The sequence below is a fragment of the Homo sapiens genome, chromosome 19 (genome assembly GCF_000001405.40).
Source record: "Homo sapiens chromosome 19, GRCh38.p14 Primary Assembly".
Lineage (NCBI taxonomy): Eukaryota > Metazoa > Chordata > Mammalia > Primates > Hominidae > Homo > Homo sapiens.
The window spans coordinates 6,077,503-6,092,405 of record NC_000019.10 but is presented as its reverse complement, the minus strand read 5'-3'; the positions used below and the strand labels follow the sequence as shown (position 1 = coordinate 6,092,405).

The 14,903-nt window shown below is 45.1% G+C and overlaps 1 protein-coding gene across 7 annotated transcripts in view, besides 3 other annotated features; it reads left to right on the top strand.

Moving 5' to 3' along the window:
- Positions 1-14,903, top strand: part of RFX2 (regulatory factor X2) — a 117,337-nt gene that overhangs the window by 18,095 nt on the left and 84,339 nt on the right. The window lies entirely within an intron of this gene.
- Positions 4,625-5,124: an enhancer, noted in NCBI's record as "NANOG-H3K4me1 hESC enhancer chr19:6087293-6087792 (GRCh37/hg19 assembly coordinates)". NCBI's record gives its function as "activates a minimal SCP1, AML or CMV promoter by ChIP-STARR-seq in naive H9 embryonic stem cells {active_cell/tissue: H9 hESC(naive)}" and the evidence as "EXISTENCE:reporter gene assay evidence [ECO:0000049][PMID:30033119]".
- Positions 5,125-5,626: an enhancer, noted in NCBI's record as "NANOG-H3K4me1 hESC enhancer chr19:6086791-6087292 (GRCh37/hg19 assembly coordinates)". NCBI's record gives its function as "activates a minimal SCP1, AML or CMV promoter by ChIP-STARR-seq in naive H9 embryonic stem cells {active_cell/tissue: H9 hESC(naive)}" and the evidence as "EXISTENCE:reporter gene assay evidence [ECO:0000049][PMID:30033119]".
- Positions 5,134-5,203: an enhancer, noted in NCBI's record as "active region_13820". NCBI's record gives its function as "activates an Ori minimal core promoter by ATAC-STARR-seq in GM12878 lymphoblastoid cells {active_cell/tissue: GM12878}" and the evidence as "EXISTENCE:reporter gene assay evidence [ECO:0000049][PMID:35858748]".

The window sequence follows — 14,903 nt, the reverse complement described above, 5'->3', positions numbered from 1 at the left end:
AGCAGCCCAGCATGCAGCCTGCGGGGCCACCCTCCGTCCCAAGCTGCTTTCTTGGGTCATTGACCCCCTGCTGCCATGGCCCGGGTTTAGGGACTTGAGCCCCTGCTCTCTCCAGCCCGAGGAGGGAGCTCAGTTGTGCAGCCACTAGATCCTGTTCTTGAATGTCTTCCTTGCTGTTATAGTTGGCTTCTTCTTATGGTACAAATTCTTTCTCTTTAACTCTACGTAAACAATTTAAAACCAGAATTCCTGTGACCTAATCCTCGATAAAGTTATTCATTCTTAATCTGAGCTTTTCTCCTATTTTAAATTCAGTGAATCATGGTTTTCTTTTTTAACATCCTTTAAGATTTCTGAGACACCAACCTCCACAGTTTTCCTCCCCCCACTCCCGGATGTAGAATCTTCTAGAAACTCCCTGCTCCTTTATTCTCCAGGGTTAATGTTCACTGAGGGCTTGGCCCAGAAAGTCTACAATTCTCTGACTCCCAAACTGGGACATAGTCTCATTTCAGATTCCTGATTGTAAAATGCCTACCTCCCGCAGTTCATTCCTCATTCAGTCCCTCGGCTTATTCTGTTGATGGGTCTCATGTAAACACGTTTTGCGGCTTAGACTCAGAGTTCCTGAAACAGATTTCCCCACACCTACTTCTCTCCCATCACTCGAGATTTTCACAAACAGTCTGTTAGGGATCGTGTCCAACAGATATTGTTGTTTGTTACTGAAGTTTATTTCTGAAAATGTTCGAATTGTACTTTGTACGTTCTCGTGCCTAATTTTCTCATAATTATGAGAATATTGCATTTTACTTCTCCTGAGGTGAGGAATGCAGGAATGCTTTTAGTCTCTATATCATTGTTTCTCTTCGTGGCTGGCATTTGCCAGCACTCAGCGTCATCTTCTTTTTTCAATTGTGATAAAATTCACATACAATTCACCTTTTTTTTTTTTTTGAAGATAGGGTCTTGCTCTGTCGCCCAGGCTGCAGTGGGGTGGTGCGATCATGGCTTATTGCAGCCTCCACCTTCTGGGCTGGGACTATAGGTGCACGCCACCATGCCTGGCTAATTTTTTGTAGAGACAAGGTCTCACTATGTTGCCCAGGCTGGTCTCAAACTCCGGGATTCAAGCAATCCCCAGCCTCAGCCTCCCAAAGTGCTGGGTTTACAGGCATGCGCCACCACACCCAGCCCAAAATTTACCATTTTAACCACTTTAAAATGGTTTTCATTTGGTGGATTTTAGGATTTTCACAGTGTTGTGAAGCCATCATCACTCTCTAATTCCAGAACATTTCCATCACCGTGAAAAGAAACTCCATACCTATTAGAAGTCGATCACAGTCCCCTACTCCCAGCCCCTGGCAAACACCAAGTCTGCTTCTTGTCTATGTGGGTTTTCCTATTCTGAATATTTCCTGTAAATAGAATCATACAATATGTGACCTTTTTCGTGACTGACTTCTTTCACTTGTGTGTATATAAATATATATTTAAGCCCTGGAAGGTTGGGTAATATTGTTTTGCAGTTCATCCACATTGTAGCCTGTGTCAGAGCTTCATTCTTTTTTATGGCTGAATAGTATTCCACTCCATGGGTGGACCACATCTGTTTATGCATTCATCCCTTGATGGGCATTTGGGTTGTTTCTACCTTTTGACTATTACGAATAGTGCTGCTATGAATATTTGTGGACAAGCTTTTGCCTGGACATATAGCTTCATTTCTTCAGGGAATATACCTAGGAGTGGAGTTGCTGAGTCGTATGGTAACTGCAAGTTAACTGCCAAATTGTCCTTTCACAGTCCCACCGGCAGGGAGTGAGGGCTCCAGTTTCTCCACATCCTCACCAACACTTTTATTTTTCCCTGTTTTTAGTATAACCAGCCTCGTAGGTGTGAAGTGGTGTTTCATGGTGGTTCTTATTTGTGTTTCTGTAATGACTGATGATGCTGAGCCTCTTTTCATGTGCTTTCATCTGTCTATAGCTCTTCTTTGGAGAAATGTGTATTCTTTTTTTTTTTTTTTTTTGAGACAGAGTCTCACTATGTCACCCAGGCTGTAGTGCAATGGCGTGATCTTGGCTCACTGCAACCTCACCCGGCTGAGAAATTTGTATTCAAAGGTGTTATCTGGGCTGGCATGGTGGCTCATGCTTGTAATCTCAGCACTTTGGGAGGCTGATGCAGGAAGATCACTTGAGCTCAGTAGTTCAAGACCAGCCTGGGCAACATGGTGAAACCCTGTCTCTATGAAAAATTCAAAATGCAAAAATAGCCAGGTGTGGTGGTGTGGGCCTCTGGTCTCAACTACTCCAGAGGGTGAGGTGGGAGGACCTCTTGAGCCTGGGACGTTGAGGCTGCAGTGAGCGATGTACATGCCACTGTACTCCAGCCTGAGTGACAAAAGCGAGAACCTGTCTCAAAACAAACAAACAAACAATCCAAAGATGTTATCTTATACAAACAATCCAAAGATGTTATCTCATATAATAATTTTCTCTAATCCACAAGTTTCTGTTCCTCTGTGAAATGCCCAAAGACCCTGAATCATGAAGGTCCCCAGCACATGTAAGAGCTACACAGGGTGGTGGAGGGAAGGGAGGGTGACAGTTCATTCAGATGCTACAACAAAAATATTAGAGACTGGCTGGCTTCTAAACAACAGGAATGTGTTGCAGTCAGCTCTGGAGGCTGGGAAGTCCAAGATCAAGGCACTGGCAGATTCAGTGTCTGGGGAGGGCCTGCTTTCTGGTTCGGCTTCTGCCTTCTAGCTGTGTCCTCACGTGATGGAAGGGGCAGGGGAGGTCTCTGGGGCCTCTTTTGCAAGGACCCTAATCCCATTCCTGTGGGTGCCATGCTCATGACCTAATCATCTCCCAAAGGCCCCACCTCCAGATGCCGTCATATTGGGGGTTAGGTTTCAACATGTGAGTTTTGGGGGGACACAACATTCCAACCATAGCACAGGGTCAGAATCCAGAGGACATGAGGGCTGGCCTCCCCCTTCCCTGTGACATTGCTCCAGCTCCTGCCCGTGCACACTCCCTTTTCAGAGACTGCCCAAAACCCCACATCCTCCGCCACTGAGATGGAGACAGGACAGGAGTGTTGGTCTTCACCCCCAGAGTGTCCCTGACCTGCTGGACGCAGATTTCTAGCGTGGTTATTTGTCATTACATGGGCTATTTGATACCTGCCCTTTTATTTATTTGGAGTTATTTTAGGCTCTGTTTTAAAGACATGAGTCCAAACATCTGAGTCTAATACAGAGTGGGCAAACTAGCCCATGGGCTAAATCCAACTCACTGCCTGTTTTTGTACAGCCCATGAACTAAGAATGCTTTTTTCCTACATTTTTAAGTAGTTGGAAAAATCAAAAGAAGAATATTTTAGGACATACAAAATTATCTGAAATTCACATTTCAGTGTCCATAAATTGTGCTTGCTTCAGCAGCAAATATACTAAAACTGGAACCATAAATAAAGTTTTATTGGCACACAGCCACAGTCATTTCACCCTACAATGGATGGGGTTGAGTCATCTTGACAGCGAGCGCTTGACCTGCAAAACCTAAAATATTTACTATTCCACATTTTACAAAAAAAGCTTGCCACCCCCTGGTCTAACGCACATTACTTGGCTATATGTGACTAGTACTCATGTGTATATGAATGTGATGCTGATTTTGAGGTTTATAAAACCCCTTAGGCTCTTCAATGGTGTTTAACATATTTTTGCTTTCTCTAAGAGAGAGAGGAATAATATTTACTTTGTTATCTTCTCCAGTTTGTTGTAATTAAAGAAGAGTCTTTGGCTACATCCATCTTGCAGGATGAATTTCGTTGCCTTCTTATACCTATGAGAACTGTGCCTTTAAAAAAAAATGCTGGGCTGGCATGGTGACTCAAGCCTGGAATCCCAGCACTTTGGGAGGCTGAGGCGGGTGGATCACCTGAGGTCGAGAGTTCGAGACCAGTCTGACCAACAGGGAGAAACCCCATCTCTACTAAAAATACAGAATTAGCGGGGCATGGTGGCACATGCCTGTAATACTAGCCACTCAGGAGGCTGAGGCAGGAGAATCGCGGGAGGCGGAGGTTGCAGTGAGCCGAGATCACGCCACTGCTGTCCAGCCTGGGCAACAAAAGTGAAACTCCGTCTCAAAAAAAAAAAAAAAAAAAAAAAAAGCTGTAGTGCCCTGGCCCTTCTCTGTGGCATTCTTCTTTGTCTTTCAGGCCCTGGCCAGCCTGGGTTAGGCTTAGAGCAGCACTCTGGGCTGGGAAGGGCTCTGTGTTCAGGGGTCATTGCTTCCTCTTTGTTCTCGTCTCTGACTCACCAACATGCAGCTCTGGGTGACTGTCCCTTGAGGACTGTGGCTTCCTGGCGGGTTAAGCCAGTTCTGGAAGTGGGTGTGCAGCTTATGGCAGCCAGGAGTGGTTTCTGAAATTAATTACTGCTCTAGATGATGATGTAAGGAGTGAGACTCCTGGGGAGAAACTGCCCATGTGGAGAAACCCAGCACCTGTAACCCATCACCTTCGTATCAAAACACGCTGTCCACCTAAGAAGGGCGAATGTGCCATGGCTAATCAAGGAAAATAATTTCTGTTTAGCTGTCAAAAAAGCTATTTCCATGATATCAGCCCTTTGATTTGGAGCTGAAACCTCCAAATCAAAATAAATTCTGCAGCATCTGAATCTTTTGTTGTAGCTGGATTTTTTAGAGTGAAGGCATTGCTAGGAATTACTGACAGAGTCCAGGGAGGGGCTAGAATTGGAATCGGGCTTCTCTGAGGTGAGAAAGTTAGTGGGGACTCGCCTTAATGCCTGGCTGTGGAACTGATCAAGGTCACTGGCTAGATGTGGTAAATCAGATGGGCTTCCTTGGGTTGGATGGGTGGATGCTAGAAAAAACTGCACTTCTCTCTAAGTCCCTTTACTCGCCTCTGGCAGGCATCTCCCTCCTGGGCTTCCTCTGATCCTCGATCCTCAATTCCTGGGCTTGGTGGACTGTGGGTTAATTATCTCCTAAGTGTTCTTTGAAAGCAGAGCCAATTATCAGCACAGTCCCTTCCCAGGCTGTTTGAATTCCTAAATACAGGGCAGTGGGAGGGAGGAGTAGCCACCTGTGGACTGTGGCTCCCTGCTGGAGACGGGTGTGCGTCTCGCTTCGCCCCTGTGAAGGTTATGCCTGTCGCCCTGTCTATCATGAGTCTGTCTCTGCAGCTTGTGGCTTCTGACCCGCTGCGACCATCTGCCTGTGCTCAGTCCCCACCCAGGAAGTGAACTGATTCTGTCACTTTCTTCTAAAGACCACAGATCTGCCTGGTTTATACAACGAAGCTCGTCTGAATTGGAGTCCTCAAATTTGTGAATTTAAGTTTTAAAAGATTAAAAAAAAAAAGACATACTGCTGTAGCCCAGTGGTTTTTAATCTTTCATCAGTCTGGATCTCTTTCAAAATCTGCTCAACACTGGGAATTTCTCCTCAGAAGAACAGGCATGGAAGGGCAAAAATTACATGACAATCTACGTTAGTAGTAAACAGAAAAGGCAGAGGTGCCCATGTGATGTTTGTATCTCTGTAGAGTTGTGTGGTCAGAACAGACAAATTCCCTTTGCAAATAATAGTAAGGAAGCGCATCACTGAAAACAGGAATGAGCCGTGTGCGTGGATGCATCCATTACTGTCAAAGGGGAGACACAGAAGTCATCTAATTCCTGTGAGCTTCTCTTGCAATTCACTTTTACAGTGCCCTTTCCGGCAAGATTAGATTCTTGTGTGTTATTACTTAACTTTAATTATTTGCTTATAATGCAGTCATGCCATGCATAACATTTCCGTCAACAGCAGACCACATATACAAGTGATCCCATAAGATTATAATGCTGTATTTTTCCTGTACCTTTTCTATGCTTAGCCATGTTTGGAGATACAAATACTTACCACTGTGTTACAATTGCCTGCACTGTTCACTGCAGTCACATGCTAGACAGGTTTGTAGCCTGGGAGCAATAGGTTATACCATACAGCCCAGGTGTGCTACGTAGGTTGTAGCGTCTAGGTTTCTGTAAGTATCACTCTGTGATATTCGCACAATGATGAAATTGCCTGAGGTTGCATTGCTGAGAACGTATCCCTGTCAGGAAGCGACTCATGGCCGTATTTTACTCCTGCAAGGGTGCCAAGATCATTCGATGGGGTAAATACAGTCTTTCCAATAAATGATGCTGGGAAAACTGGGTTTCCACATTCAAAAGAATGAAATTGGATCTCCCCTGCCTTTTTTTTTTTTTTTTTTTTTTTGAGACAGGATCTTGTTCTATCACCCAGGCTGGAGTGCAGTGGTACAATCATGGCTCACTGCAGCCTCGGCCTCCTGGGCTCAAGAGATCCTCCTGCTTCTGCCTCCCAACTAGCTGGGACCACAGGCATATGCCACCATGCCAGGCTAATTTTTAAATTTTTTATAGAGACGAGGTCTCACTATGTTGCCCAGGCTGGTCTTGAACTCCTGGCCTCAGGCAATCCTCCCACCTCACCCTCCCAAAGTGCTGGGATTACAGGCGTGAGCCACTGTGCCCAGCCAGGACTTTTATTTTATAACATACACAAAAATTAACTCAAAATGGATCAAAGACCTAAACATAAGAGCTAAAACTGTAAAATTCTTAGCAGAAAACATAGGGAGACATCTTTATGACACTGGATCTGGCAATGATTTCTTGGATAGGACATCAAAAGCACTCACGACAAAAGGAAAAACAGAAGGATTAGGCCATCAGCGTTCAAAACTTTTGTGCATCAAAGAACAGTAGCAACAGAGTAAAAAGACAACCCAAGGAATGGAAGAAAATGTTTCCAAATCATTTCTAATAAGAGGTTAATATTCAAAATAGATAAAGAATTTCTGTAACTCAGCAAAAAAATTTTTTAATGGGCAGAGGACTTGAGTAGATATTTCTCTTTCTTCAAAGAAGATATTCAGATGGCCAATAAGCAGTTGGAAAGGTGCTTCATACCAGTTATCATTGCAGAAATGCAAATCAAAACCCTAATAAGATACCACTTCACACCCATTACGATGACTGTTACCCAAAAGAAGAAAGACAGAAAAATGTTGATAAGAATATGGAAAAATTGGAACTGAACCCATGTGAACTGTTGGTAGGTGTGCAAAATAGTGTAGCTGCTTTGGAAAACAGTATTTGTACACTCAGACAGGGATTTGTACACTCATGTTCATAGCAGCATGATTTACAATAGCTAAAATGTGGCAGCAACTCAAGTGTCCACCAACAAATGAATGGATAAATAAAATGTGATCCATCTATACAATGGAATACTATTCAGCCTTGAAAAAGGAAGGAAATTCTGACACAGGCTGCAACATGGACATTATGCATTATGCTTAAGGACATCATGCTCAGTGAAAGAAATCAGACACAAAAGGACAAATCCAGCCGGGCGCAGTGGCTCACACCTCTAATCCCAGCACTCTGGGAGGCCAAGGTGGGTGGTGGATCACCTGAGGTCAGGAGTTTGAGACCAGCCTGGCCAACATGGTGAAACCCAGCCTCTACTAAAAATATAAAATTAGCCGGGCGTGGTGGCAGGCACCTGTAATCCCAGCTACTTGGGAGGCTGCAGCAGGAGAATCACTTGAACCCAGGAGGCAGAGGTTGCAGAGAGCCAAGATCGCACCACTGCACTCCTGCCTGGGCAACAAGAGCGAGATTCTGTCTCAAAAAAAAGAAAGAAAGAAAGAAAAAAAAGGACAAATCCAGTGTGATTCCACCCCTAGGAGGTCCCTAGAGTCATCAGATCCATAGCGACAGAAAGTAGAATGGTGGGTGCCAGGGGCTGGGGAGGGGGTAGGGAGTGAGTGTTTCATGGGGACAAAGTTTCAATTTGGGAAGATGAGAATGTTCTGGAGATGGATGGAGGTGATGGTTGCACAACAGTGTGAGTGTGCTTAATGCTACTGAACTGTATATTAAACATGGTTAAAATGGTAAATTGTACATTATGCACATTTTACCACAATTAATGATAAAGAGTAATTGACTCGTCATATTTCCCAGCATTACTTTACTAGGAGGCATATGCTTTTTATGGTTTGCCTCTAGTAAGTCCCTACGCTGTCCTGCTAAAGCAGAGGATCACAGCTTTAATAAAGACCCTAAATATTTATCTTGCCTGTGGTCATGTATAGCTGAACAATGCACAGCGAACTCATTTAGTTTCCATGCGCTTAACTGGGCTAACTCTGCTTTTGAGCCTAATGGAAAGCTTGGGGCAGGTGGAGGACCGGTTCTTTAGCACTCACAGACGATTCCCACACCACACTCCCATATCCGGTCTTCTCTGCCGAGAATTCTCCCTGCCCAAGAGGTCTGGGGTGCCCTGGACACGTGTGCTCATCTCCTGTATTTGGAGATCTGGGGCTGGGAAGAGAATGTAAAGCAACCTAAACAGTAATTTAAGAATGGAGAAAATGGGACTAAATTATTCAGACACGTTTGAGTGCCTACTCGCTAGCAGGCATTTTCCGCTGCCTATAATTATGAGTAAGACATGTTCCCCCAAAGGCCATCCAAGATAGGGGTCACAGCCTGGGCAAGATGGTGAGACCCCATCTGTACAAAAAATTAAAAAATTACCCGGGCATGGTGGCACATACCTGTGGTCTCAGCTTCTGGGGAAGCTGAGCAGGAGGATCACTTGAGCTCTGGAAGTGGAGGCTGCAGTGAGCCATGTTTGCACCACTGCACTCCAGCCTGGATGACAGAGCAAGACCCGGCCTCAGAATAAATAAATAAATGAATAAAAATTAAAAAAAAAAAAAACGGGTCAGCAGACTACATCTAGCACACTACTGTGGGTTTTTATTTTTGTTTTTAGTTTCCACGAGTTGAGAATATTTTTTGCGTTTTTAAATGATTGGAAACAAGACAAAATATTTTGTGACACATGAAAATGATATGAAATTAAATTTCAGTGTCCATAAATAAAGATTTATTGGAACAGCACCAGCACCAGGGTCAGAACTAGCATGAGGCAGTGAGGCCCTCGCCTGGGATGCAAAATTTAAGGCAGTGCCTACAAAAATCCACAGTCATCAAGATACACAATGTTTTAATGCAGTATTTTAAAAAATCAAAATAAATGCCAAAAAATTTCATGATGAAGGCCGGGCACAGTGGCTCATGCCTGTAATTCTAGCACTCTAGGAAGCCAAGGCGGGTGGATCACTTGAGGCCAGGAGTTCAAGACCAGCCTGGACAACAGGGTGAAACCCCGTCTCTACAAACAATACAAAAATTAGCTGGGGGTAGTGGCACGTGCCCGTACTCCCTGAGCCCAGGGAGGTTGAGGCTGCAGCGAGCCGTGTTTGTGCCACTGCAGCCTGGGCAACAGAATGAGACCCTGTCTCAAAAAAATAATGGGAAAAAAATTCCATGATGAGCAAAATGTTGAAATTTTACATAAAGACAGGATCAGCACTGCTGCTTCTTTTTCCTCTTTGCCCCAGGCTCTAGCATGGCTCTGAAAAGCGCTGAGTGCAGCGGCCACACTCACTCCTCCTACTGTCCAGAGGCAGAGTTGAGTAGTCTCAACAGAGACCTGCAAAGCCAAAAATGTGTATTTTCTGGCCCTTATAGAAAGTTTTCCAGTGGCTAACACCTGTAATCCCAACACTTTGGGAGGCCAAAGTGGGCGGATCCCATGAGCCCTGGAGTTCAAGACCAGTCTGGGCAACATGGCAAAACCTCATCTCTACAAAAAATACAAAAACTAGCTGAGAGTGGTGGTGCACGCCTGTGGTCCTAGCTACACGGGAGGCTGTGGTGGGAGGATGGCTTGAGCCCAGGAGTTAGAGGATGAAGTGAGCTGTGATCGCGCCACTGCACTCCAGCCTGTGTGACAGAGAAAGGCTCTGTCTCAAAGAAAAAAAGAAAACTTTCCAACCCCTGATAGACATCAATTCAGGAGAGAAGGACCCTCCTCTTACTATATTAATCCCCAGCAATGACTATAACCAAACTAGATTCAACATCTGGTCCATTTCCCCTGTCTACCATTTTTTTTTTTTTTTTTTTTGAGACAGGGTCTTACTCTGTTGCCCAGGCTGGAATGCAATGGAACGATCTCAGCTCACTGCAACCTCTGCCTCCTTGGTTCAAATGATTCTCCTGCCTCAGCCTCCCTAGTAGCCTCCCTAGTAGCTGGGATTACAGGTGTGCACCACCACACCCAGATAATTTTTGTTTTTGTTTTTGTTTTATTTTGTTTTGTTTTTGAGACGGAGTCTCACTCTGTCGCCTAGGCTAGAGTGCTGGAGTGCAGTGGCATGATCTCAGCTCACTGCAAGCTCCGCCTCCAGGTTCACGCCATTCTCCTGCCTCAGCCTCCAGAGTAGCTGGGACTACAGGTGCCCACCAGTACACCCAGCTAATTTTTTGTATTTTTTAGTAGAGATGGGGTTTCACTGTGTTAACCAGGATGGTCTTGATCTCCTGACCTCATGATCTGCCCGCCTCGGCCTCCCAGAGTGCTGGGATTACAAGCGTGAGCCAACGCGCCCGGCCAATTTTTGTATTTTTAGTAGAGACGGTGTTTCACCATGTTGACCAGGCTGGTCTTCAACTCCCGACCTCAGGTGATCCACCCTCCTCGACCTCTGAAAGTGCTGGCATTCCAGGCATGAGCCGCCGCGCCCAGCCCTCCATCTACCTTTATATGTACCTGTTTAAAAAAGTGAGTGTACACTCAAATTATTTAATTTTTGGATAATGGTACATGTAAGCCAATAGCAATTAACACTGAATTAATAAGCATGCTAATGTTTGTGTGCTGTGATGATTTACTGAGAGTATAATTACCTGCATTAAAAATGTATAGAAGCCATCATTTACTTTCATGTTAACTAAATGCTTAATTATTTAATCCTTCATGCAATGGGCTTAGTGTTACTTGGTTTGTTTATAAAATGATATGATTCCTTCCCCGGTTCCACAGACAGGTCTTAGAAGCATAATTAATTATTCTTTTTATTTGTTTAAAATAGAGACAGGGTCTTCCTTTTCGGCCTGGTTGGCCTCAATCAATCCTCTCACCTTGGCCTCCCAAAGTGCTAGGATTACAGGGGTGAGCCACCATACCCGGCCGGGAAGCAGACTTATTATGAACTTTTTTAAAGTAGTGAATGTCTTTGTCTTGGTTTTCCTGCATTCACTCTTTCTGTCTATAATCTAAGAAGAGTGCTCTTTTAAAAGATGTAAGTCAGATTATATTGTGCCTGTGGGTTGAGCCTCCTGGGGCTTCCCTTAGCAATTGGATTTTTTTTTTTTTTTTTTTTGAGATGGAGTCTTGTTCTGTTGCCCAGGCTGGTATGCAATGGCATGATTTTGACTCACTGCAACCTTCACCTCCCAGGTTCAAGTGATTCTCCTGCCTCAGCCTCCCAAGTAACTGGGACTACAGGCGTGCATCACCACACCCAGCTAATTTTTGTATTTTTAGTAGAGATGGGGTTTCACCAGGTTGGCCAGGCTGGTCTCAAACTCCTGACTTCATGATCCACCCACCTCAGCCTCCCAAAATGCTGGGATTACAAGCATAAGCCACTGAGCCCCGACAGCAATTGGAATTTTAAAACTCCAGACATCTGACCTTGTCCAGGGCCTCTGCTGCTGCAAGACCTTTGCACAGCTATTCCTCTTGCCCAGGCTGCTCTCTCCCACATCCTCCCAAGGTTGGCCCCTTCTTTGCAGCTGTCAGGTCCCAGCTCAGTGCCATCCTTAGTGCCACCCATAACTGGCTATCAAGAGGGGAGCCCTCTCCACCACCACCCCTGGCTCTATCCCTCTGCAATCACCTTGCACCACAGCCCGGATCTCTACTGAACAACCTTGTGTATCTGGAACCTTGTGTATTCTTGCCTGACAAGGATACTGGCACCCTGAGAGCAGCACTTTCATCTGACCTGCTCACCTTAGAATCCTCAGGCTGGGTGTCGTGGCTCACGTTTTAATCCCAGCATTTTGGGAGGCCAAAGTGGGAGGATTGCTTGAAGCTGAAAGTTCGAAACCAGCCTGGGCAACAAAGCAAGACCTCACCTTCTCTCTCTCTCTCTCTCTGTCTCTCTCTCACATACACACACACACACACACACACACACACACACACACATTAACCAGGCATGTGCCTGTGGTCCCAGCTACTCACAGGAGGCTGAGGCAGGAGGAATGCTTTAGCCCTGGAGTTAGAGGCTACAGTGAGTTGTGATCTTGCCACTGCACTCTCCAGCCTAGGCAACAGAGCAAGACCCATCCCTAAAAAAACAGAATCCTCAGAGCCTAGAATGGGGCTGGGCACTCAGTAGATGCACCTGGTTTTTCTTTTTTTTTTTTTAATTTATATTTTAAATCTACATACAGTCGTGTTTGCCTTTTTAGGTTTGCTGTTCTATGGTTTTTCACACTTGCATACTTTTTTTTTTTTTTTTTTGAGACAGAGTCTTGCTTTGTTGCCAGGCTGGAGTGCAATGGTGCAATCTCAGCTCACTGCAACCTCCGGCTCCCTGGTTCAAGTGATTTTCCTGCATCGGCCTCCCAAGTAGCTGGGACTACAGGCACGAGCCACCATGCCCAGCTAATTTTTGTATTTTTAGTAGAGACGGAGTTTCACCATGTTGGCCAGGATGGTCTCGATCTCCTGACCTCGTGATCCACCCACCTCAGCCTTCCAAAGTGCTAGGATTACAGGCGTGAGCCACCACACCCAGCCCACTTGCACAGATTCTTATAACCTCCATCTCAAACAGGATGGAGAGCAAGTCCAACCTCTCTCTGTAGTCAGACCCTGGCCCCATTCTTAGCCTCTGGCCACCATCTGCTGTCCCTTTCTATAGCTCTGCCTTTTCCAGAATGTCGTATAAATGGAAACATACATTGTGCAGCTTTTGAGACTGGCTACATTCACTTGGCATAAATGCCTCTGGGATTCATTCTGTCATTGCGTGTGTCAGTCGTTTGTTCCTTTTATTGCTGGAGCACAGTCCTTGTGTGATCCTACCACAGTTTGTTTGTCTGGTATATTTTCTCTTCATGATGGATGTTGAATTAACATGAAAACCTCTGGTTGTAAGAGCGACAGCATACTCTAGACCAAGTACACTAAATCGCAGTGATACTCCCTGCACAAACAGCCATTCTGTTTGGTAATTTACAGGATTACAGTTTGGTAATTTACAGGAACCTGCATGTCTTAGAATGTTTACCAATGAATTACAACTTTTAAAATGATATGCAAGTAATGGCCGGGCGCCGTGGCTCACGCCTATAATTCCAGCACTTTGGGAGGCCGAGGCAGGTGGCTCTCTTGAGGTCAGGAGTTCGAGACCAGCCTGGCCAACATGGTGAAACCCCGTCTCTACTAAAAATACAAAAATTAGCTGGGCATGGTGGCATGTGCCTGTAATCCCAGCTACTTGGGAGGCTGAGGCACTAGAATAGTTTGAACCCGGGAGGTGGAGGTTGCAGTGAGCTGAGATTGTGCACTGCACCCCAGCCTGGGAGACAGAGCAAGATTCCATCTCAAAAAATAAAATGATATGCAAGTAATACAAGTAACATTCTCCTGGGAAGGACCACCATCTACAGCAGGAGATTCAGAAATGAAAATTTCTCTTTTCGTCTTTCTGTCTATCCCACCTCATATGAGGTAAGCACTGTTAGTCATATAACTTGTGTCCTTCTAGATCTTTTTAAGGCCCCTTTACCTATTTTATAGTATGTATAGCTGGGGTTTTTTCAACATAAATTTATTCTGCAAATATTTGAGAGCCTACTGTGTGCCAGGCACTGCAGATGTTGGCTTTCTTTCTTGGAGACGGTACCTCTTCTTTTTAATGGCAGCATAGTTTTAGAGCTAGGATGCACCATAAGGTACTTAATGATTTTCCTGTTGATGAACATTTGTTTCTAAATTTTTATGACTTAAACTAATGCCACTGGGGACAGGTCGTCAATATACCTTTTTTTTTTTTTTTTTTACAGCTGTGCTGAGATCTGTTTTACATACCGTAAAGCTCACCCATTTGAAGTGTATGGTTCAGTGGGTCTTAGTATACTATCTTCACAGAACATTTTCATCACTCCGAAAAGAAGAAGAAACCCTGAACCTGCCATGAACAGCCACTTGCCCTTCCTCCTCCCAGCCCCGGGCAACTGTGAATCCACTTTCTGTCTCTGTGGATTTGCCTGTTTTGAACCTTTCATATAAACAGAATCACACACTATGTGGCCTTTTGTGACTGGCTTCTTCCACGTAACATAATGTTTTCAGGGTCCACTGTCCATCCGTTTACAGCATGTGCCAGTGCCTCGTTCCTTTTTTTTTTTTTTTTTTTTGAGATGGAATTTTGCTCTTGTTGCCCAGGCTGGAGTGCAATGGCGCGATCTTGGCTCACTGCAACCTCCGCCTCCCGGGTTCAAGCGATTCTCCTGCCTCAGCCTCCCAAGTAGCTGGGATTACAGGCATGTGCCACCACGCCCGGCTAATTTTGTATTTTAATAGAGACAGGGTTTCTCCATGTTGGTCAGGCTGGTCTCAAACTCCTGACCTCAGGTGATCCACCCGCCTCAGCCTCCCAAAGTGCTGGGATTACAGGTGTGAGCCACCGCGCCCGGCCGCCTTCGTTTATCCATCCATCAGTTGACAAACATTTGGGCTGTTGCTACTTTGGGGCCATTAGGACAACGCTGCTGTGAACATTGGTATCCAAGCATTTGTGTGGCCATGCACTGTTTAGCACATGTCTACTTCTGCAGGATGAATTTTGAGGAGGGGAAAAAGACCCCACTTATAGCTAGCTCTTTGTCTCTGACT